Genomic DNA, 25465 nt, shown 5'->3' with positions numbered 1-25465 from the left:
TATACTTTCTTAGATACAATGCTATTGCGCTCTTAATAGATTACAATACAGTGTAAATGTAGCTTTTATAAGCACTGGGAAATCAAGAAAACTTACCTGACTTGCTTTATTGTGTGATATAGGTTTTATTGTGGTGGTCTGGAACCAAACCTGGCAATATCTCTGAGGCATTCCTGCATTTCATTGTAATTTTAATTGTATTTCTCTGGTGAATAATGATGTTGAGCATCTTTTCATGTGCTTATTTGCCATCCATATATCTCATTTGGTAAAGTGTCTTTTCACATCTTTTGCCCATGTTTTATTAGGCTATTTTCTTATTTTTGAGATTTGAGAGTTCTTTATATGTTCTGGGTACCAGTATTCTGGAGATACATATTTACAAGGATTCCTTCCAAGTCTGAGGTTTGTGTTTTTATTCTCATAACAGTCTTTTGAAGAGCAGAAGTTTTTAATTGATTGAATCAACTTTACCAATTTGCTCTTTTATAGATCATGTTTTTGGTATCGTATCTAAGAAATCTCTGCCTAATGCAAGGTCACAAAGATTTTCTCCTGTATTCTTTTCTGGAAGTTTTATAGTGGTAGGTCTTTCATTTAGATCTGTGATTGATTTTGAGTTCATTTTACATATGATATGAGTTTTGTACCCAAGTTCTTTTTTTTTTTTTTTTTTGCATATAAATAACCAGTTCTTCTAGTGTCTATTAAAAAGTCAATTAAAAAGACTACTACCCTTTTCCCACTGTATTGTGCTTGTACTTGTTGAAAAGCAATTGCATGTACATGTGTGAGTTTATTTCTGGTTGTCTGTCTCTCTTTTGTTCTGTTAATCTATTTTTCTGCCTTGATGCCAGTACCACACTGTCTTGACTGCAGCTGTATTATAGTTACCGAAACAGTGTCAGTTCACCAACTTTGTTCTGTTTCAGAGTTTTGCCTATTCAAGATCCTTCACATTTCATTATGAATTTTAGAATCAGCTTATCAATTTGTACAACAGAGCCTTCTTGGGTATTGATTGGGACTGTGTTGAATCTATAGATGAATTTGTGGGGGGAACTGACTTCTTAACAGTATTTAGTTTTCTGACACATGAACAGGGATATTTTCACCATTTATTTAGGTCTTTAATGTAGTTTTCAGTATAAAATTTTTAAAGTATCTTTTGTCATATTTATCTCTAAGTATTTCATATTTTTGATACTAGTTTATTAATAAATGATATTTTTTTAAAATCTCAATTTCTGGTTCATTGCTAGTATATAGAAGTAAATTTTATGTTGATCTTGTATTCTGTAATCTTGCTAAACTGACTTAATAGTTCTAATAGCTTTTCTGTAGATTGCATTGGACTTTTTACGTAGATGATCATGTCTGCAAATACGTTTTTTTCCAGTCTGGATACCTTCTGTTTTGCTTACCTGATTGTACTGCTTATGACCTCCAGTGCAATGTTGAATAGAAGTAGTAAAAGTGGACATCTCTGTCTTGTTCATAATCTTAGGGGGGAAGCATTCAGTCTTCCACCATTAAGTATGCTGTTAGCCATAGGTTTTTCATAGATGCCCTTTCCCAGGTTGAGGAGGTTCTTTTATGTCTTGTTTGAAGAGAGTTTTTAACAGGAATGGATATTTATCAAATGCCTTGTCTGTATCATGGATTTTTTTGGTTAACATGATGAATGACTAACCTTGCATTTTTTTCTTGGTCATGATAGGTATTATGCAATTTATTTTAAAGTTTTGTTTGTTTGTTTGTTTGCTAAGACTTAGAATTTTTGTATCTTTGGTCATTAGGAATATTGGTCTTTTTTTTTTTTTTTCTTGTAATACCTTCCCTTTCAGTATTAGAGTAATGCTGGTCTCATAAAATCAGTTGAGATGTGTTTTTCCTTTTTAATTTTTTGGAAGAATCTGTATAAAACTGGTGTTATTTCTTCCATAAATATGTGGTAAGAATTACCATTGAAGCCATCTAGGCTTGGAGTTTACTTTATGGGGATTTTTTTAACCACAATTTCAATTTTTAAGAAGCAGGGCTCTTCAGGTTATCTATTTCTTCCTGAGTGAACTTTGGTAATTAATATCTTTCAAAGAATTTGTTCATTTCATCTAAGTTGTCAAATTAATTGGCAAAGTTGTTCATAATGTTCCCTTACTATCTTTTGAATATTTGTAGCAACTGTAATGATGACACTTCTCTTATTCCTGAAACTTATAATTTGTGTTTTCTGTCGTTTTTTTCTTGATCAGACTGGCTACAAGTTTATTAATTTTAATCTCACAAAAAGCATCTTTTGGCTTTATTATTCTCTGTATATGTTTGTATTTGTCTCACTTTTTCTGTTTCATTGACTTTTTCACTTGAATTTTATTTCTCTTTTTTTTTTCTTTGCTTACTTAGAGTGTAATTTTTCCTTTATTTTCTAGTTTCTTAAGGTGGATACTGAGGTTTTTGATTTGAGGTCTTTGGGTATTTATCAAAGATCTTTTTGTTATTGATACATAATTTAATTCCATTCTGGCCAGAGACCATACTTGGTATGACATTAGTTCTTTTGAGACTTGTTTTGTGACTTTGAATATAGGCTATCTTGGTGAATGTGTGCATTTGAGAAGAATATGTCTTCTGCTGTTGTTGGAGTACTCTGTCAATGTCAGTCAGGTTGGTTGTAGTGCTGTTCAAGTTCACCATTTTCTTGCTGATTTTTTGCCTGCTTTATTCATCAATTATTGAGAAACACATATCTGTATTCCACCTGGTATCATTTCCTTCTGCCTGAAGGATTTTTTTGTAGTGTGGATCTGCTAGTAATGAATTCTTTCAGGTTTTATATCTCTGAAAATGTCTTCATTTTGCCTTTGTTCTCAGATACTTTTATTTGCTATAGAATTACAGGTCGACATGTTTTTTTTTTTCTTTTTCTTTTAGTCTTTAAAGAGATACTGTCTTCCCACTTGCATTGTTTTCCAGAAGAAATTTGATGTCATCCTTATCTTTGTTCCTCTGTATATAACATGTCTTTTTTTTTCTCTTGATACTTTTAAGATTTTTTTTGTAAATCTGGTTTGAAATAATTTGATTATCTCTTGGTGTAGTTTTTTTCATGTTTGTTGAGCTCAGGGTTTGTTGAGCTTCTTGGATCTCTGGATTTATAGTTTTCATTAAGTTTGGGACATTTTTGCTTACTATTTCTTTAAACATTTTTCCTGTCCTCCTCCTCCTCCTCCTCCTCCCAACCCCATTTTGAGGATTCCAGTTCTGCAGGCATTAGACAGCTTGAAGTTGATCCCACAGCACATTGCACTGTTTAGGTTTTTTAGATCTTTTCCTGCGTGTTCCATTTTGGATGGGTCTACTGCTATGCCTTCAAGTTCCCTAATTTTTTCTTTTGCATGTCTAATCCACCCTTAATCCCATCCATCACATTTTTTTCATCTCACAAATTGTGGTTTCATCTCTGGAAGTATAATTTGTCTTTGTATCTTCCATCTCTCTACTTAACTTTTTGAACATATGGAACACATTTATAATACCTGTTTTATTGTCTTGTCTGCTAACTTCTGTGCCAGTTCTAGGTTGGTTTCAATGGATTATTCTCGTATTGGGTCATGTTTTTCTGTCTCTTGTGTGTGCCTGATAATCTTTGATTGGATGCCAGATATTGCAAATTTTACGTTGTTGGGTGCTGCTATTTTTGTATTCCCATAAATATTCTTGAGCTTTGTTTTAAGATGCAGTTAAGTTACTTGACAGTTTGATATTCTGGGATGTCTTGCTTTTAAGATGTGTTAAGTGGGTCTGGAACATTGTTCAGTTTTGGACTGATTATTCCCCACAGCTGAGGTAAGGCCCTCCTGAGCACTCTGTCCAGTATGTCATGAGTTCTGGATTTTTTTCCAGTTGGTATAAATAGGTACTGTTTCTGACCCTGTTTGAATGGTGGGCATTGTTCCTCTAATCCTTTTGGATGGTTCCTTCCCCAGCGTTGGGGAGTTACCTCACACAAATGCACTGATCAGTACTTCACCGAGGACTCAATGGGGACCCTCTGTAGTTCTCCAGGGTTCTCTATGCAGCTCACTCCATTTTGGTATTCTTTTCTATGAACTCTAATTGCCTTGGTTTCCTCGGACTCTCAGCTTTGTCTCATCAATTTGGAAAATCCACCAAGCTCTACCACTGTTTCCCCTCCCTGCACTGTGGCCTAGTAACTCCCTTGAGGCAGTAAGCTGGGCCAATCATAGGGCTTACCTTGTTTGTTTCCCATGTCCTTCGTTGACTGATGTTTAGGGTCTGAAAATGATCATTTAATTAATGCAGTTCGTGTGAGTTTCTGGTTGCTTCAGGATGGGAGGGTACATCATGCCCAGAAGTAGAAGTTCATATGTCTGCATCAGTTATTATTCTACAGTGTAACTGGCATTGTTATTTTCAGATGTTATTCCTAAACCTCTTGGTACAGAAAATTTTTGGTAATTAATGTGAGATAGTATGGTGTATTAGTTTCCCTTTGCTGTTACTGTAACAAATAACCACAAATTTAGTGGCTTAAAAACAACACAACTTTATTATTTTATGGTTCTGGAGATCAGAAGTCCGTATGTAGTGAGTCTCACAGGCTAAAATCAAGATGTTTGTAGGCCCCTACTCTATACCCACAAAATTAAAAAAGATTTTTTTTAATATGTGTTTGTAGGACTGTATTTCTTTCTGAAGGCCCTAGGGGAGAATTTGTTGGCTTGAGTTTTCCAGCTTCTAGAGGCCACCTACATTCCTTGGCTTGTAGCCCCTTCCCCTGCCTTCAAAGCCAGCAGCATTGGGCCGAGTCCTCCTTATGTGCCTTCTCTCTGGGTCACCCTCTTCTGCCTCCCTCTTCCACTTTTAAGGACATTGGGCCCACCTAGGTAACCCAGAATAACCTCCCTATTTTAACATCAGCTGATTAGAGCCTTAATTGCATCTGGGAGCTTAATTCCCCTTTGCCATGTGATTTGGCATATTCACAAGATCCCGAGGTTAGGATGTGGGCGTCTTGGAGTGGGCTGATGACTATTATTTTGCCCACCACAGATTGATGGTTTTTAGAATGGTCTCTGCCTAAGACTGCCTGCCTGCCTGCCTGCCTGCCCGCCTGCCTGCCCGCCTTCCCTCCCTCCCGCCCGCCTTCCCTCCCTCCCCTCCCTCCCTCCCTCCCCTTTCTTTCCTTTCTTTCCTTTTTCTTTTCTTTCTTTTTTAACAGGGGATCTCATTCTGTCACCCAGGTGGGAGTAGTGCAGTTTCTGGGGGGTCTTGCTTTTAAGATGTGTTAGGTGGGCCTGGAACATTGTTCAGTTTTGGACTGATTATTCCCCACAGCTGAGGTAAGGCCCTCCTGAGCAGTCTCTCTGGTATGTCATGAGTTCTGGATTTTTCCAGTTGGCAGAAATAGGCACTGTTTCTGACCTTGTGTTTCTGTTTCTGAAATGGCAGATCTCGGCTCACTGCAGCCTTCACCTCCCAGGTTCAAGGGATTCTCCTGCCTCAGCCTCCCGAGTAGCTGGGATTACAGGCATGTGGCACCACTCCCGGCTAATTTTTGTAGTTTTAGTAGAGATGGGGTTTCACCATGTTGGCCATGCTGGTCTCAAACTCCTGACCTCAAGTGATCCACCCAGCTTGGCCTCTCAAAGTGCTGGGATTATAGGTGTGAGCCACTGTGCCCGCTCCTTTCTTTTGATGACAGTGAAGAATTGTCTATATAGGATTTTATTTTATTTTGCTTATTTTTTTAAGACAGGGTCTTGCTCTGTCACCCAGGCTGGAATGTAGTGGTGTGATGGCAGCTCACTGCAGCCTCGACCTCTGGGGCTCAAGCAATCCTCCTGCCTCAGCCCCCTGAGTAGCTGGGACTATAGGCATGCACCACCATGCCCAGCTAATTAGGATTTTCTTTTTAACCTACACACAGTAAGACATTATTAGAAACAATGAGACTACAAACCTATACTTTAAAAATGTGTTGGTTATATATAGCCTGTCTGTCATACATAGCATTTAGAAGTAGCTTATTTTAATTTCAGGTATGATTCAGAAAACTTTATGGATTATTTCACAAAGTTTTGATTTGAGAATTTCTCAGCCCATTGCATTTGGCAACGTATAGAAACTTTCAAGCTTGGGAAATTGATTGATAGCCACAAATGTAATTTTAGATCAGTATCAACTGTCTTATATTTCAGTATTTTTTTTCTTTTAAAATTGAAGAATGGTATATTTTCCCCCCTTCCTCCACTTATCACAGCTAATGCCTTATGTTCTTTGTTGCTTTTGTCACGTGGAACACCTCCTTGTGTGCTATTTTCCTGTCAGGACTTCAGTGTGTCATCCCCCACATTGTCAGCAATTTCAGTGATCTCTGAAAAAGCCCAGGATTTTCTCCCTGACCTTTACCCAGTGCCCTTTGTAAAGGGTTATGTATACCTGATTTGATGGAATAATTTATGTATAGCAGCTCTGAGCTGAAGTTAGCACTTTTGCTTCCATAACTGTCTTCATATTGTATTTGACTCCCATCTTCTTCATATGTTTAAATAATTATTGATAGAATTCTAAAGTAGTAGTTTATTTAAGCCAGAAGTTAATGTGCAAGGTGAATAATAATTTTAATCATTCTTTATACTCCCCCCACCATAGGCTACATTAAAAACAAACCCGGCTTTTATTTGTCCAAGAATGGTTGAGTGTCAGTAGGTCAGTAGAGCCAGTTCCAGAGCACATAGTCAAGCCAGCAGGTATTTGTAATACCTTCTCTTCTGCTGCGTTCTGCTTGCTTCTACTTGCACACTCCTGGGTAAAAGTGAATGAGATATGTCCAGCATGGCAGACCACCAGAAGTTGGCCATAGCACTCAGCACTTTGTCCTTGCTTCAGGAATAGGCCCAGATGGTTACTCTTCTCTGGCCACAATCCTGGGACCAGAAGCCCAGTCAGCAGAGCACCTGCTCTTCCACCAGGCTGGTTTGTGCCTGGAGTGAGTGGTGAATAGATGAGGTCAAGGCTTTGCAAATGGATGGCTTTTCTTCACGTATTGGTTTATCATTTACTTGTTGTGTGTGTCCTTGGGCAAATTATTTGTGGACCTTTCTCAACTGTACAGTGGGCATAAACATGCTTAATAGAGTTGCTAGGCACTTTGCCATAGGTCTTGAAATGTTAGTTTTCAGATATGTTTGCAGATTAGGCGTGCTATCTTTTGTCTCCTCTCTCTGTACTGTTTCTTTTGGCCTATGTCTCTATTTACCTCCTCCCGCACCTTGCCTCCAGTGAAAGAAACCAGGCATGGAGCATTTGTCTCTTGGATCAGCCTTGATACCCTTATGCTCCCTACTGAGCAGTTCCTTGGGGCCAAGGGGAGTCTAAGGCCATCCCCAAAAGAGGTAGCCATTTCTTTAAGGTACTGTGTTTTATTTATTCAAATTTTGCATTCCGTTTCAGTATCCATGCTGGTTCCAGTAGAAAAACAGATTTTCCCAAGTGGATACACCTTAAGATGTGTCTCATGCTTTGTACTTAGGGCTCACAATAGCACGTTTCTGGAAACATTTCTGTGTTTCAGCAGTACTATAACAGTCATTCTTCATCAACAAGGAGAATGGAATGGAATGGAATGTTGCCAGGGTCTTGGTTCACAGAGGTAGACTAACTTTGACCTTCCTGGGACCCTGAACAACTCCACATCAGACAGATCGTTGTGAAAGGCACTGAGTAACATTTAGATAAGTGGATGATTTTGCATTTTTTACAGTAACATCAGAAAGTCCAGTGTTGTATGAAACACTGCTTATTAATAAAGTAAGAGCATGTGGTTAGATATCAGCTACTTGTAGGAGAATATGCGTGGCTTTCAGTTTCATAGTTCTATTCCTGCAGATTTTTATTGCATCAACTTGTTTTATTTGAGCAGTTTGTGTACAGTGATGTATGGAATAATCTTCACCAAATAGTGTGTAGATATGTTTTTGACTCATAGCAGAATAAGTACTCTAAGGCCTTAGAATAGTAGCCTGGGAAGACAAATGTTAGCACAGAAAGATACATCATTCTTAGATAGCCAAGAAGACCTGCAGGTGTCATTAATTAGCATCTGAAAAGGAAATATTTTGGAAAACATAAATAATACAGGCAGTTAGGTGTCTGCAGCCAGAGAGTTAGAGAAGGAAAGAAGTAACAGACTAATGGAGGGGAGTTGTCAGGGAAGGAGGTGTTGGGGCAGAAGGGCCCAAACATGGGGAGCTTGGTGGAGGGCCTGGAAGAAACTGGTGATTAAAGCAACAATTGTCTGTCTAAGCACACACACCCTTACCCTGCCCCTATCATTAGGCGGCTGGCCTTATGATATGTACTGTGTACAGGGTAACTTCTCTTTTGTACAATTGAAGATAAAAGGCTTAATTTATACATGTCTAGTGGTCATAATACATCAACAAATTGCTCTTAAATGAGTTAGTTTGTCAGCTGAATTAACTAACATAAATGTTGTCATATCCTTTTCCTTTTTTTTTTTTTGAAACAGAGTCTGTCTCTGTCACCCATACTCAAGTGCAGTGAGTGGCACAATTATGGCTCACTGCAGCCTCGATCTCCTAGGCTCATGTGATCCTCCCATCTTAGCCTCCCAAGTAGCTAAGACTAGAGGTGCGCCTCCAGGCCCAGCTAATTTTTTTTTTTCTTTAGTAGAGATGAGGTTTCACTCTGTTGCCCAGGCTGGTCTCGAACTCCAGACCTCTAACCATCCTCCCACTTTGGCCTCCCAAGGTGCTGGGATTACAGGCAAGAACCAGTGCGCCTGCCCGATATCCTTATTCTGATGGGAAGGATGTGCCTTAGCAAACTGGTTCAAATGAGAAGTTGGGGAAGGAGTATAATCTTCTGGATAATGGGAGCCAGGAAACTTGCCAGGTCTCGTCTTCACTACGCACAGATGAGTGGGAGATGTTGGGAGTCACTCTTGCTTTGTGCAGGCTTCCCTACAAACATGTCAGCACTGCTTGGCATACTTCCTGAAACTTATGTTTTTGTCTGAACATTGCCCCTCCAAAGGGAGAACTCATTTTCCGAGACCCTACTGCAGGGAGATAGGAGTGCCCACTGTGTTGTCTGAAATGTGTGTGGTACACAGCAAGTGCTCAGTAAGTCTCAATTCAGTTGAAAGTTGAATTACACACTGACAGGCAGGTTCATGACTATTCCCATGTTTACGTCCGAAGTTCATGTTGGTGTCTCAAAGTGTTAACACTTAAAATATTAAAACACCACATTGAGATATACATAATATATAATATATATATAATAAAGGAAACATAGACCCTCTGCGCCCTTATCTGGTAGTCACTCCTCGGTTCTTATCTGGTCACTAGGCTAGACAGAACACCAGCAAATTAATTCGTTAATTTTTATTCAGTAGGTGCCATGTCTTAGGCTGGGTGTAGAAAGATAATGACACAATTCTGGCTTTGCAAGAGCTTTCAGTGTGGTGGAGTGAACAGGCCTACAGATGGATGCTGAGTTATAAGTGGTTGCCAGGATAGGTCGGGTGCTGGGGACAGGACTTAGTGTACTAGGGCATTACTTAGAATAAGTAACTCATTTTGAGGTCTTAGGCAGTAAGACATTATAGCCTTGTTATGTGTCTGTGTCTCAGAGTTCTGAGATTTTTCTTCTGTGCCTCCCACCTTAAAAAACCTCTCCAAAAAAAAAAACAACCTAAAAAAAGTGGCGTAAGACATCCCAACAGGATGTGTTACATGGGAAGACAACATGGTATGATAAGAAGAGCATCGAGGCTCTAGTGCTTACTAGCTCTGTGACCTTGTACAAGTTACTTATCCCTGAGAGTCTGTTTCCTCTTAGACTAAGTGGGAATAAAAGTATTCTGTGGAATGTTGAAGAGGTTAAACTTTTGGTTTGAGGATGCTTAATCTATTTAGCTTCATCTTCTCTCCCCCCACTATCAACCCTCTTGAAAAATTTTCCATTGCACCGTTCGAATTAGTTGAGTATACAGTTTTTTATTATAAGCAGTTTGTTACTTATTAAATTTCTTATTTCCATGTGATCTTTATACTCTTTTTTTTTTCTCTTTCCTTTCTGACAATTTGTCTGTACCCAGGGAATTTAAATAAATAAACATTTCATTTTGTAGTCACATATGAATAAATTTACACACTGTACTGTTTTATGTTACACTTCCTGTTTTCTGTCAGTGTGCATCTTTCATGCAACCAGTATATTTTTCAGTACACTGCTGGGTCCTTGGATATGTTTATGAGTAAGATAGTAATTAGCTTCCAAGAATTTTTTTGTTAGAGACAGGCATAAACAATTACAGTGTAAGATTAAAGGTACATATTAATATGTGTGTGCCACAGGAGAGAGCTAGGTTGACTGTATACACAGACCTGTGTATCAGTCAGCTTATGAAATTAGAGAGGACAGTTCTAATGGGGCATTAGGTCTGGATCTGAGTAACTCCCTTTTATGGTGAGTCAAAACAATACTCCATAAGTTCCATCTGACTCACCGCCCCCATCTAAGAAGTGTGCCGTTTGTTTGTTTGTTTGTTTGTTTGTTTTAGGTGGTGGGCAGGTGTGGTTGAATTCACACCTGTGAACACCCCTGGAACAAGTTTGGTCAAAGCAAGGGCTTGTCTTCGTAAGTGATTAGTCTTGTCATCTTATATGAGGGACCTGCCTGGCTACCTTTCTCAGTGGTGTAGAGAGTAAACAGACTGCTGACTTGGAATATGGGCTTGACTGTGACCTTGAGCAAGTTAACTAGTCCTCATGTGTCAGCTTCCTAATTTGTTTAATGGGGATAATAGGAATACCTGTCTTCTAGGGTTGGTGTGAGTATTGAATCATCTGTAGGGCTTGGTATGTAGTAAGTGCTGGATTAGTGCTAGCTCTTGTTGCATATTCATGTTATGTTTGACTCTGGACTACTTGTGTAATCCCAGGTGAGCCAACTTGAAGCTATTTTCAGTTGGACCAGACCAACTCCTTAGTCTGAAGGTAATCCATGTAGTCAGCTCAACAAACATTTATTGAGGGCCACTGTGTCAGACACTGGATTGGTCGTTGGAACCTAAGAGATGAAGAAGGGGTGATTCCTGGCCTCAAGTAGTTTATACCTTTTATTTATTGTGTTCTCTTTAGTTTCTCAAAATACTTTTAAGATCAAGACATTCAAAGAATTAAGATTTGAAGAGTGGAAGAAATTTTAAAAAATTAGGAAAGGGTTCTTTTAAAGTAATGTATTAGGTAATTTAGGGAGAAATTGTCCCTTCCAGACTCTGTTAACCACCCGGAAAGATTTTGTCTGAGTCGAATGCCAGACACCTTGCTGGTTTAACTACTGCTAAGTTATGTTGCAGTGAGCAGAGAACAGCCGATTTACCCTGTGAGGCTTACATGTTCAGTGTATGCATTGTCAGCTCTAGTAATTATTCTAACATACTAGATATTCATGATAGAAATTTGTTTTATGACAAGGGAAAAATATACCCCTGTCAAAATGATAGCAAATAAATTTGATAATTTTGCAATTTAAGTTTTTTTTTAAAAAATTGCTTTTGTTCAATTTTTTTGTTTCTAGGCTTTGCTTACTTTCTCTTTTACTGAATTATCCTTGCATTACTGTTCTTTTTCTACTCAAATTTTTAGCTCTAGCAGGAAAAGCCACCCTAGGAAAATTGACTAATGCCATCTAGTTCTACCTTTATGTGAATTTCAGGGTTACATTTAAATCACTTCTCCATGGGCAGGCAAAAGAAAGGTAGAAAATAGCTTTTGAAGTTAGCCTGTCTAGGAGTAGGTAATTTTACACAATCTAAATTCACAGGAGAATTTCTTCAGATTTTTAGGAGCAGTAATTTTCATTACACATTCCCTAATTTCATTAGGAAATTTTTAAGTAATCTGTGCTGTTTGTGAGATTAGATGAATTGGTGCCCAGCCATGGGGCTTGTCACAGCCATCCAGATTCATCATTCCTGGTGTCCACTTGGTGCTTAGCAGCGTGGCCCTTGGTAGTAAGTGGTAGCTATTATGTGCCAGGTAATCTATGCAGTAGTGCCTGTTTTAAAAATGTTGGAGAAACCAGCCCCACACCACCTGGCGGGTACCCCGAGTCCAGCGGAGACAAAGGAGTTAGAAAGAGACAGAATAAGAGTTTAAAAGGTGGGTCCAGGGGACCAGAGTGTCAGAGGCTTGCTCACAGCCCGGAACTCTCAGCCTCCACCCAATTTATTGGTTTACAAGCTCTTTGTTCTTAGGGTAGATGGGAGGGGTACGAAGCGATGAGGAAAAGAATTAATCGGTGAAGGAGAACTCGTCAGTCATTCAATAAGATATATAGCAGTGGCGGTTTCTGTGAATTTCCCCAAGCAAAGGCGTGTGTCTAAACGGCTTAAGATCTTTAACTTACCGGGACTGAAATGGGTGGGAGTGGGTTTCAAGAGGAACCAAGATGTTTGATTATACTCCACTGTTTCAAGGGAGTGTTATTTCCCCGAGCAACCTGTGGCATGCCGCGGAGCTCTTACGCTCTTGGGGCATAAAGACATGAAGGCAATAAGGAGACTTTTCTCCTCAGAGGCCGCCCATGGCTCCCAGTGGGTGTCTCACACAGGGGAGACCAACTCATCTGGCACCCTAGAAACTCTCTTTCCCACAAAAAAGAATTGTATCTATATTTTATAGATGAAGAGACTGAGGTTGTAAAGACCAAGAGTCAGTGTTTTCCCAAAGTTTGCTGATAATAGTGTGTATTAATTTACTGCTTGGTAACTTATTTCTGTTTTATAGATTAGTATCTTCCTTCCCAGGATTTGTTGGAATTAAATAAGAATAGTGCATGCAGATTGCATAGTACAGTGTCAGGATGTAGAAAGCATTTAGGAGATATGGTTAGACATTTTACTTGGGTTATTTCTGTTTCGATGTGTTTTTCTGTCTGGGAGTAAACAGGTGGTTTAAGGAAAAATCTTGATTGCAGTAGAATTGACTTAGTCAAGGACGTATATTTCAAATGTGTGTTTAACAAGCTTGATATGATAAAAATAGATCCAATTCTTAGTTGCATGTGATTTTTGCTTTCCTCTGTAATATTTATTTGACTGTTTTAAAGAAATTATGGAAAACATTGACTTCTTTCCCAACTGTATTTCCCTGCAATTTGTTTGCAGTGGAACTGAATTTACTCTAAAGAGGAGGTATGTGGCTTGCATATCATTTTCAGTAATAGGAAGTGACATGAGCAAAATTGCAAGGAAACAGAGATTAGAGACCAGCCTTGAATAAATCCAGTATAAAAGTAGAATGCCTTAACATTTCTCCTAATTTCCTAAATTGTATTACAGCAGTATTTTTGACCTTGTAGGTGGTGGTCTCCTTTATTATTATTATTTTGTCTGGGGACATAGGAGATTTCTTGAGAAAGACCTTTAACTGCAGCTGTATGTGGTAATAAGTGTGTAGGGATTGCTGTCATTCTATTAGTAGAACATTCAGGAATGTGAATGCTTGATTTGCCAGTTTCCTTGGAAGTCGGTTGGAGTATTAGAATATTACTGTACACTATACCTGTGCCACTTTTATGTAAGCCTGTTAGAACTGGATTCTGGAAAACATTTATATTTGAGAAGTTAACTTATTCTTCCAAATATTAATTCATTCTGTATCTAGATATTTCAGACTTTTAGCAAAAATTTACCACTATGCATTTGCATAGAAGAAAAACTTTTAAAAATATGTGATGTAGTATAAACATCTGATTTATAAGTGAAGATAAAATTATTCTAGCTTATATATAACAACAACAACAAAGGGAAATTATTCTAGCAATCTCAAAAATTCTTATTGTATTTATTTATTTTTTGAGATGGAGTTTTCACTCTTGTCACCCAGGCTGGAATGCAGTGGCGCGATCTCCGCTTACTGCAACCTCCGTCTCCCTGGTTCAAGCGGTTCTCCTGCCTCAGCCTCCTGAGTAGCTGGGATTACAGGTGCCCACCACTAAGCACAGCTAATTTTTGTAATTTTAGTAGAGACAGGGTTTAGCCATGTTGGCCAGGCTGGTCACAAACTTCTGACCTCCAGTGATCTGCTCACCTCAGCCTCCCAAAATTCTGGGATTACAGGCATGAGCCACCATACCTGGCCTGCAATCTCAAAAATTCTTAAAGCTGACTGGTTCCTGAGACCTTAAGGAAACAAAAAAGCTATCAAAAATTAGTAAAGCTCCTTTTCTCCCACTTTTAACATACAAGAAATTAATAAAAGACAGAAATGAGGTGACATCTATGTGCCTTCAGGGTATTAAGAGCCCAGGGTAATAACCTACTTTAAAACAATGCTGTAAGGTTGAACATGACTAAACTTGTGCCAGCTTTCTTTTTCTTTCCTTTATGTTTTAGCCAACTCTATTGAGGTATAATTTGCATACAGTAATATTCACTAGTTTGAAGTGTGCATTTTGATTAGTTTCATAAACATACAGTTGTGAAAATGGCACCATCTTAATGTAGGACATTTCCATCATCTCAGAAAGTTCCCCTGTGCCTGTTAGCAATCAGTGCCTTTTCCTCATCACTGGTCTCAGGCAACAACTATTGCTCTGCTTTTTGTCACTTTCTGTAGCTGCTGCGTGGTCTAGAATTGTAAATAAATGGAATCATACTACATGCAGTCTTTTGTTTTGACTTGTTTCAGTTTGCATAATGCTTTTGAAATTCACGTTACATTTATCATGTTTGTTTCTTTTTATTGCTAAGTAAACTACAATTTAGTTTTTTACCTGTTAATAGATTTCTGGGTTGTTTCAAGTTTAGGGCTATTATGATTAAAGCTTTTATGAAGGTTTAAGTAAAAGTTTTTTTGTGGACAAATATTTTCATTTCTCGCAAGTAATACCTGGGAGTAGATTGATGAGTTGTATGGTAAGATTATGTTTAACTTCAGAAGAAACTGTCAAACCATTACCAGCAGGATGTGAGAGTTCCAGTTGATTTTACAGTATGTCTTTCCCCAACACTTGATGTTGTCAGTCATTTCAGTGGGTACTTAGTGGTATTTCATTATAGTTTTTTTTTGAGACGGAGTCTCACTCTGTTGCCCAGGCTGGAGTGCAGTGGCGCTATCTCAGCTCACTGCAAGCTCCACCTCCCGGGTTCACACCATTCTCCTGCCTCAGCCTCCCAAGTAGCTGGGACTACAGACACCCGCCACCACGCCCGGCTAATTTTTTTGTATTTTTAGTAGAGATGGAGTTTCACCCTGTTGGCCAGGATGGTCTCAATCTCCTGACCTTGTGATCCACCTGCCTCGGCCTCCCAAAGTGCTGGGATTACAGGCGTGAGCCACTGCGCCAGGCAGCCTTTTCATTTTTTAAGCAGCGTTTTTTGAGAGTAAATATTTTAAATTTTAATGAAGTACAGTTTTTCAATTTTTTCATTTACAGGTCTGTGTATATTCTGTATCCTGTAAGAATTTTTGCCTACCACAAGATCACAAAAATTTTCTCCTGTGTGTTTCTCTAGAACATTATAGTTTTAGCTGTTTATTTAGGTCTGTAATCCATTCTGAGCTAATTTTTATATATGGTAGGAGGTGGGAGTCAATATTCATTATTTGCGTATTCAAATAATGGGAATATGTAAATAATGCATATTGCAATAGGGAATAGAACACAAAAGCATGCTTTTTGTTGTTGTTGACTTTTAAAATATTGACCTACAATTTCCCGTAAGTTCACTTTTTAAAGTGCATTTGCATATTCAGCTGTTGCAGCACAATTTATGAAAAGACTTTCATTTTCCTCCATTGAGTTGCTTTGGCACCTTTATTGAAACTCAGTTGACCATGTATTTGCGTGTCTGTTTTTCGATTTTCAATTCTGTTCTGTTGATTTACATATCATTTTGTCAGTTCTGTATTAGCTTGGTTACGGCAGTCTTTTAGTAAGTCTTTAAAGGGAGGCAGTATGAATACTGCAACTGCTTTGGCTGTTTTAGTTACTTCCATTTCCATGTAAATTTCAGACTTGTCAATTTCGAAAACAACAACAACCTGAGATTTTGATTGAGAGCACATTAACTCTAATCAAACTGGTGAGAATTGATATAACAACATGGAGTTTTTAATCCCAAACAAGATTCATCTCTTTATTTAGATCTTTTTTAATTTCTTTAAACAGTATTTATCTCTCATGTTTTTGGAGGCTGTTGTATAGGGAATTGTATTTTTTCCATATACAACAATTGTATATTGTATACAAGTATACAAACAATTGGATATTTGTTCTGTATACAACCGATTGTATTTTTTCCAAATACAATGAAATTATATTTTATTTTATTTTTCAATTGTTCAGTGCTTGTATATAGAAATGTAATTGATATTTGTTATTAACTTTACGTGCTATAACCTTACTTGTTCTAATAGCACCTTTTTTTTTTTTAGATAGTGTTTACAGCTTCCTTTCCTTGTTCCCAATTTTGGGGGGAAACATTCAGTCTTTGACCATCAAGTACGATGTCAGTTGTAAGTTTTTAATAAGTGTTCATAATCGCTGAGGAAGTTCTTTCTATTGGCTTACTGGTAATTTTCATCATGAATTGGTGAATTTTATCAAATTCTTTTTCTCTATATTAAGATGGTGAAGTAACTAGTTTTTCTTTTTTTAGAATGTTAATATGGTAAAATACATTACTTTTTAAAAATGTAAACCATCCTTGCTTTTCTGGTATTAACTCTGTTTGGATGTTATATATTACTCATTTTTACATATTGCTGGACTCAATTTGGTAAAACACCTTTAAGCATTTTTTATGTCTGCATTAATGAAGTCTGTTGGTTTTAGTTTTTGTATGCTATTTTTATTTCTGGTGTTGGATTAATGCTGGTCTCATCAAATGAGTTGGGAAGGATTTTTCTTACAATGTTGAATCATTTTTATAGAATTAGTCTTATTTCTTTTAAGCCGTTTTAGCATCATTTGTTAGAATTAACCAGTGAAACCATCTAAGGCTCAGACAGGAAAACTGCAAAATGATACTGGATCATTTTGTGTCGTAAAGCAAACATGTGCTCCAGGACTAATGGAAACAAGTTAGAACAACACAAAAACTGGCTTGAAGGGATTCTCATTGGCCAAATTTGGAACATTTTGAACATCAAAAAAAAAAGTAATCAGTTATATTGGAAGAAAATATGAGTCCATAGTGATACTTAAACATGAAGAAGGTGGATGGAAATAAAAATGACATTACCAAAGAATGCCTTCTAGTAAATGTACAAGGAATGATTGAATTAGAAAGTTACCGTTTTACAACTGCCACTGTAATCATTGACTCAGGCAGGAATTGTCAATGGATGCTAAAAATTATTGGTAAAGATTATTGGGTATATGTGTACTATCTCAAAATTCTTTTTATGAATTATCTATTACAAAGGGAAAAATACATCTTTGTGATGCAAAGATCTGGTGGATACTACATTAAGCAAGTGATCCAATTTAATATCACCAGTAGTGACAAATTGAAATATCAGTCTCTTGTTAGGGTTGCATGTCATTTCTATATTATTCTTACCAAAAATATTTGCCCTGAATCTAATCATGAGGAAACAATAAAGCAAATCAAGATTGTGGGATATTCTGTAAAACACTAGGTCTTGATTCTCCAAAAATTATGTCATGAAAGACAAAAACTTTTGAGGGGGACTGTTGTAATTTAAAGGAGACTAAAGTGACAACCAAATATAATGCTGTAATGCATGATCCTTGATTGGATGCTGGACTGAAAAAAAAGGTTATAAAGGACATTTTGGGGTGGAAACTTAAATACCGACTGTATTTTTTAAATGTTATATGTCAGTATTAAAATGGTTGGCTGTGGTAATAAAATTGTGATTATGTAGGAGAATGTCTTTGTTCTTAAGGGATCTGTGCTGAAAGTATTTACTGGGAAGTGTTGTGGTGTCTGTAGCCTGCTTTCAAATGGTTTGACCATATATAGATACACACACACACACACACGCAGACATATATATATTTTTTTCTCATATATATGAGAGAGAGAGAAAGGGAGAATGTGCTGAAACAAATCTGATAAATACAGTTGTTTTAACTATTCTGTAGGTTAACCTTTTCTACAGTAAAAGGTGCGCCAAGAAAATACTTCCCTGTTTGAGAGTCAGGACCACAGTGGCTCTTCCAGGCCTTGACCATGGGGCTGAAGCAGTTGGTTCTTCAAACCTGTCCAGCTCTTCCCCACCTCCCCAGAGACACAGATGACCTTGTATCTTAGCTCATTGAAACAGACCCTCCAGCGTCAGCTCCTTCTATTTCTCCCTTCTTGTAACCTCAGTTTGTGTCTCCCCCCACGTTTCTTTACTTCAGTCTTCAGATAGAGCTTTTCTTCTCCTTTCTCTTCTCCTGTTTTCTTGACTTTCCAAGGCATCTACTTTAGAGTCTGGCTTCTCTCTGCCACTCAGAAACCTGTCTCAAGACTTACCAGTGGCTTCCAATTGGCCAACTCTGGTGGCTTATTTTCAAGTCTCTGCCCCTCTGTCCTCTTCTTTTCTCTGTGGGATAGTCTTTGACACTGTTGAGCCCTTTCTTGGCTTCCATGACACATGCCCTCTTCTGTTCCTCTTGCTCATAAACCTCCACTGTCAGTGCTCCACTGCTGCTGGAGGGAGGTTCTGCCCGTAATAAGTTGCAGAGCTCAGCCCTCTACCATTTCTTCCTTGATTTTTGAAAGCTGAGAGCTTCAGTTTCGTCCCTCTGTTGGTGTCCCTTTCCCCAAGTTCAAGTACTGTCTTGGAACTGCCTGCTTCAGCATTTTTCCTTGCATAGCTCATTGTTAACTCAGATCCCATTTATCTGAAGTTGAATTAAGCCTTTCCTTTCTTCATATGCCCCTTCAAATCTGGTCACTTGCCCTAGGCGTAACAGGCATTTAAATCACCAGCCTTCAAAGCTTGTGGGTATCATAAAATGCAGACTCCCAGGCTCAGTCTCAGAGAATGCGATTCAGTATGTCTGAATGTAGGCCCAGAATCTACCTTTTGCTGAGTACCAAGGCATTTTAATGCAGTGGTCCAAGAACTCCACTTTGAGAACAGCTACTTTAATGATTGGTTTCAGGGTTTGTTACTGTTCTACTTCACCATGGGCTTTCTCTGTCTTCAGGAAGCTGCACCTGTTGGGAGATTATTCTAAGTATTGGAAGGTCGTTGAGAGACAGCCTGAGCTTGAGCTTTGTAGAGATGCAGACCTGATCTGTCCTCTCATCTCTGCCACTTGCCAGAAGTTTGACCTTGGGCAAATTACTGGAAAATGGGAAAAATAGCACACAACTTCCAGGGTTTGGTGTGGATGGTGGCTCAGCTTCTGCCCCCCTCTCCAGCCTCTTCTTAATTCTCTTCAATGCTCCCCAGATTTCAGACCTATGAAATGACTTATCTTCTTAAAGAACCATGATTTTTCATACCTCAAATTCCTTTGCACTGTTGTGCTTTCTGGTAGGAATGCCCTACCTTAACCTCCGTGTTCACCTGACTCTTCCTTCAGACGTAACCACTCCATAAACCCTTGTGGCTGAATTTGGTGGTTTCAGTGCACCTGGAGCACCCAGTACTTGATTTATTCGTCTGTGTCTCATCTCAGTGTATGAGTTCCTTGAGGAGGTCCAGCCTTAGCCGTTAGCACTGTGGTTATGTGCAGTAGCTTTTAGTTAAAAGTTATCTTTTTTTTTTTGGAATAATCAAGGCACCTACTATGACATTAGCTAATTGTATTTCAGAGGCCTAGTTTTGAAACTTTCATTATTTGTCAACATACTTGGCAGCCATGCCAGCAGGTATAAGCTTTCCCGCATGTTTTCAAAACAGGAAACTTTTGTCCTTTGGAATAGAAGTTCTAACACTTGAGCACATTTTTTTTTTTAAACTAATGTCTTGAAGAGGTAACTTGTTTCTTTTTTTAAGTTTAGGTTTGCCTCATCCCACAATGAGATCATGAAATAACCTTGCCTCTCCCCATCCTATGAGTTAGCTGGTACTTTCTGTTTATAGTCAGTGGTCAGCACCAAAATAGTATCCCTTGAATTTCAAAGCAAGCCAGGACAGACTAGAAGTACATTAAAATTTGTGCCTGGTTACTAGAGGGGGAAAAATAAAATATATAATGTTGTTTCATATGTATGTAGTCAAAAGTAAAACATGTGACTAAATAAATTTTAAAAATAATAAACTAAAATTCATAGTAATGCTAAAATTTAGTTTATGTAAATCATTAAGTACCAGGCACAACAAAATTTTTGTTTCTTTGCTTTTTGTTTTTATGTAAACATTATTGTGCTTAGAAGTTGCCAAATTTGGTGTCTTTCAATTTTTTTCCTTTTGGAATAAATGTGAACAAAGTCTCACATTTATTCAAACATTTAACTTCATTTTAAAAATTATTGCTGTAGGATAACTTTTTTTTTTTTTTTTGAGACGGAGTCTCACGCTGTCGCCCAGCCTGGAGTGCAGTGGCGCGATCTCGGCTTACTGCAACCTCCGCCTCCCGGGTTCAAGCTATTCTCCTGCCTCTGCCTCCTGAATAGCTGGGACTACAGGCACATGCCACCACACCGGCTAATTTTTGTATTTTTAGTACAGATGGGGTTTCACCATGTTGGCCAGGCTGGTCTCAAACTCCTGACCTCAGGTGATTGCCTGCCTCGGCCTCCCAAACTGCTGGGATTACAGCCGTGAGCCACCGTGCCCAGCCGCTGTTGGATAATTTTTTAACTTAAAATTTATGTCAGAGATGGAGAATAAACTATTAAAGACTAATAGAGAATAAAATTTTTGGACCATGTATTTACAAAAGTCATGTTTAGTAGTAAAAAAAAAATCTAGTTTACACTACTTAATGAAAAAAGAGAAATATTTTTAAATATATATAACACATTCTCACTTTGACATAAATTTTTCTCTTTTTACCCCAGTTACTACTATGCCCAAGAAAATTTTCCAAACTTTAAGTCTTTTTTTTCTTTTACCACTTTGGAGTATGACCTGTTATTTATAAACTTTCCTTGAAAAAAAATCGAAATTTTAATTTGTACCCTGAAACTTTGATCAAAGTAATAGGAGATCAATACCACATGAGTTAAAGAATGGAGTAAAAATATAATTGTTCTCTGTATAATCAAGAAATTATCTGATGGGCCATTGTAACTATTTCACATTTCCATTTAGCAAGTTGGTTCCGAGATACAAAAATATTTGGCACTTTTTGGCTTGTGGATGTCCAGTTGCTCTAGCACCATTTATTGAAAATTGAAAAAATTCCTCCAGTGGATTATTTTCATACTTGTATCAAAATCAATTGGGCATATTTGTGTGGCTCTCTTTCTGGGTCATCTGTTCTATTCCATTAGTCTGTGCATGTCATTTTGGCAATGTCACACTCTCTCAGGTACTCTATTACTAGAATAATACTACCCTTACTCTTACTCTACCTTAATATTGGGGAAAGTAATTTCTGTCACTTTTTCCTTATTTCTCAAGATTGTTTTGACTATTTTAGGGTGTGTACCTTTGCATGCAAATTTTAGAATAAGCTAGTTTGTGTGTATGAAATATGTTGCTGAGATATTGATAGGAATTGCATTAAACCTGTATATTAATTTGGGGAGAATTGACATTTTTCCTGTGTTAAGTACTCTATTATATATGTTCATTTATTTAGGTTTTCTTTTTTTAATCAGCATTTAAAATTTTTTAGTATATAGATCCTGTACATAGCTTTCACTTTCCGGAGTGATTGCAAGTATTTCACTTTCCAGAGTGATTGTAAATGGTGTTTTGTTTTTTATTTTTTGGTTTCCATATGTTCATTGTTAGTATATAGTGTCTTGTTTTTAACTTTTTGGTTTCCATATGTTCATTGTTAGTATATAGAAATGTTATTGATTTTTGTGTGTTAATCTTATATCCTGCTTCCTTGCTGAACTTACTTATTCTAGAAGTTTTAGATGATTTTCACAGGTTCCTTTGGATTTTCCATGTAAACGATCGTATCATTTGCCAATACGGACAATTTTATTCTTCCTTCCTGATCTGTATGCATTTTATTTTCCTTGCCTTATTGCAGTATCTTAGAATTTCTAGTACTGTGCTGAAAAAAAGTTGTGGATCACCTTTTCCCAGTCTTAGGGGAAAACCATTCTTTCACCATTAAGGTATAGATTTTTGCAGATGCTCTTTGTCAAGTAAAGGAAGTTCCAGTTTGTTCCTATTTTAGTGAGAATTTGTATCATGATGAGATGTTGGATTTTGTCAAATGATTTTTTTTGCATCAATTGACATGATCATATGATTTTGTTATTTATTAGTATATTTGATTCCATTAATTTTTTTTCAAATGTTGATTCAGTCTTGCATATTTCGGATAAATTCTGCTTATGGTGTGTAGTCCTTTTTCTATATTACTAGATTCAGTTTGCTGGTATTTGTTTGAGGGTTTTTGCATCTAACTTAATAAGGAATAGTGGTCTATAGTTTTAAAAAAATTTTGCAATGGTTTTGTCTAGCTTTGATGTCAAGAGTAATACACTAGCTTCATTAGATGAGTTGGGAAATGTTCTTTGTTTTTTTAAACTAGATTATGTAAAATTGGCCCTAATTCTTTTTAAAATGTTTGGTAAAATTTTCCAGTAAAGCCATTTTGGCCTGGGAATTTCTTTTTTGGAGATCTTTCTCTTTTTTAGTTTTTTTTTTTTTTTTTTTTTTTGAGATGGAGTTTCACTCTTGTCTCCCAGGCTGAAGTGCAATGCCGTGATCTCAGCTGACTGCAACCTCTGCCTCCCGGGTTCAAGCAATTCTCCTACCTCAGCCTCCTGAGTAGCTGGAACTACAGGCGCACGCCACCACGCCCAGCTAATTTTTTGTATTTTTAGTAGAGATGGGTTTTCACCATGTTGGTAAGGCTGGTCTCGAACTCCTGACCTCAGGTGATCCACCCGCCTTGGCCTCCCAAAGTGCTGGGATTACAGGCGTGAGCCACTGCGCCCGGCTGAGATCTTTCTCTTCACAAATTCACTGTCTTTAATGGTTATGGGTATATGCAGGCCATTTCCTTCATCTTGGTTGAGCTTTGGTAGTTTGTGGTTTTTGAGGAATTGGTCCGTATTTTCAAAGTTGTCAAATTTATGAGCATAAAGTTATTCATTCTATGCCCTTAGTAATCTTCTAATGGCTATAGTATGAAGCTATCCCTTGTTTCATTCCTGATGGTTGTGCTTTGTGTCTTCACCTTTTTGTCAGTCTTGCTAGAGCCTTTTCAGTTTTGATTATTTTTCAGAGAACCAGTATTTGATTTCATTGATTTTTGTTGTTGTTATTTTCCTGTTTTCAATTTCATTGGTTTCTGCTCTTGTTTTTATAATTTTCATTCTACTTGCTTTGAATTTATTTTGCTCTACTTTTTCTAGTTTCTTAAAGTAGGGGACAGAGATTATTAATGTGAGACCATTTCCTCTTTTCTAATATAAGCGTCACTGTGACATAAGTGTTTCGGTCAGAACTGTTTTTTGATATTTTGCGTTTTTATTTTTATTTACGTATATGTATTTTTTGCTGTTCTATTGCTTTTTGGCCAATGATTTGTTTAGACATGTGGTATACAGAAGTGTTTGAAGATTTTTGTGTTATGTTTCTGTTACTGATTTCTAGTCTGATTACATTGTGATTGGAAATCATATGAACTTAAGGTTCACCAGCATTATAGTTGGAAAATGGAATAATTTTAATTATTTTAAAATAGTTGGGGTTTGTTTTATGACCCAGGGTATGGTCTGTCCTGGTGCATGGTCCACGGTAGCTTAAAGGGAATGAATATTCTGTTGTAGGGTGGAGTGTTCTGGAGATGTCTTTTAGATCCTGTTGGTTGATTGTTGTTCAGTTCTTTTCTGTCTTTGCTAATTTTCTTTTAGTTCTACCAGTTGCTGACAGTGAAGTGTTGAAATCTCCACCTGTAATTTAGCTTTATCAGTTTTTGTTTTATTATTTTGCAACTCTGTTGTTTGGTGCATTTACTTTTAGGAGCAGTATTTTTTTATTGATGGATTGATTTTTAAAGTATCGTTATGTAATGTCTTTGTCTCTAGTAATTTTCTTTCCTCTGAAATCTACCTTATCTGTGTTAACATAGCCATACCTGTTTTTAAAAAATAATGTTAGCATGATATATCTTTTAACGACCTTTTATGTAAAACTGATGTGTTTGAAATAAGTTTTATTAGACGGTATGTAGTTGGGTTTTGTCTGACTTTCATTAAGGTCTCTTTGCCTTCTCTGTTTTTTAAAATGCACTTTTCTGAAGTTATTTCATTTCCATACATTGAGCACAGCAGATGTTAAGTTTGTTTTAACCGTCAGTATGATTTAAGAAACTTGATGGAAAAGGATGGTCTCTTATATTTACCCCTTCCTTTGCTCTTGTTTCCTTTATGAAATTCCAAGCTGCCTTTTATTATTTTCTTTCTTTTTGAAGATACTCCTTTAGACCTTCTTTAAGCGTAGGCTTGGTAGTGACAAAATTTTTAATTTGCTAATACCTTTATGTTACCTTCTTTTTTGAAGGATAGCTTTGCTGGTTATAGCATTCATAATTAACAGTTTTCTGTTGTTTTTTGTTTGTTTTGTTTTTGTTTTAATGAGACAGGGTTTCACTCTGTCACCCAGGTAGGAGTACAGTGAGTGGCACAATCATGGCTCACTGCAGCTTGACCTCCTGGGCTCAAGCAATCCTCCCACCTCAGCCTCCTGAGTAGCTGGAACTACATATGCACAGCACCATGCCCAGCTAATTTTTAAAATTTTTTTGTAGTGATGTAGTCTCACTGTGTTGCCCAGGCTGGTCTCGAGCTCCTGGGCTCAAGTGGCCCTCCCGCCTCGGCCTCCCAAAGTGCTGGGGTTGTAGGCATGAGCTACCGTGCTGGGCCCACACAATTGACAGTACTTATGTTTCAGTTCTTATATTTCAGCATTTAAGAAATATGCCACTCCTTTTGCACTTTCATGGTTTCAGACTGAACACCAATTCGAATTGGTGTTCTAGTATAGGTAATGTGTCATTTTTCTTGGTTCCTTTTAAGACTTTTTGTCTTTAGTTTTCAGAAGTTTGTGATGTGTCTTGATATGAATTTCTTTGGGTTTATCCTATCTGGAATTCGCTCTGTAAGTTTATGTCTTTCACCAAATTTGGGAAGTTTTCCTGTATTAATTTTTCAAATCCTCCCTCAGCGTCACATTTTTTCTCCTCTCCTAATGTTAGATTTTTCATTATTGCCCTGGAGGTCCCTGAGGCTTTGTTCATTTTTTTGTTTCAGCCTACTTTTTCTGCAGCTGTTCAGACTGAACAATTC

At 37.5% G+C, this 25465-nt stretch overlaps 1 protein-coding gene across 7 annotated transcripts in view, besides 3 other annotated features; it reads left to right on the top strand.

Annotated features, from left to right (window-relative positions):
• TMEM131 (transmembrane protein 131) overlaps positions 1-25465 on the top strand; it is a 239613-nt gene that overhangs the window by 18312 nt on the left and 195836 nt on the right. The window lies entirely within an intron of this gene.
• Positions 10741-10800: an enhancer, noted in NCBI's record as "active region_16249". NCBI's record gives its function as "activates an Ori minimal core promoter by ATAC-STARR-seq in GM12878 lymphoblastoid cells {active_cell/tissue: GM12878}" and the evidence as "EXISTENCE:reporter gene assay evidence [ECO:0000049][PMID:35858748]".
• Positions 14416-14495: an enhancer, noted in NCBI's record as "active region_16248". NCBI's record gives its function as "activates an Ori minimal core promoter by ATAC-STARR-seq in GM12878 lymphoblastoid cells {active_cell/tissue: GM12878}" and the evidence as "EXISTENCE:reporter gene assay evidence [ECO:0000049][PMID:35858748]".
• Positions 19723-19802: an enhancer, noted in NCBI's record as "active region_16247". NCBI's record gives its function as "activates an Ori minimal core promoter by ATAC-STARR-seq in GM12878 lymphoblastoid cells {active_cell/tissue: GM12878}" and the evidence as "EXISTENCE:reporter gene assay evidence [ECO:0000049][PMID:35858748]".

This window comes from Homo sapiens, chromosome 2 (assembly GCF_000001405.40).
Source record: "Homo sapiens chromosome 2, GRCh38.p14 Primary Assembly".
Classification (NCBI taxonomy): Eukaryota; Metazoa; Chordata; class Mammalia; order Primates; family Hominidae; genus Homo; species Homo sapiens.
Note: the sequence above shows the minus strand (reverse complement) of the source record. Positions and strands in the feature narration are given on the sequence as shown.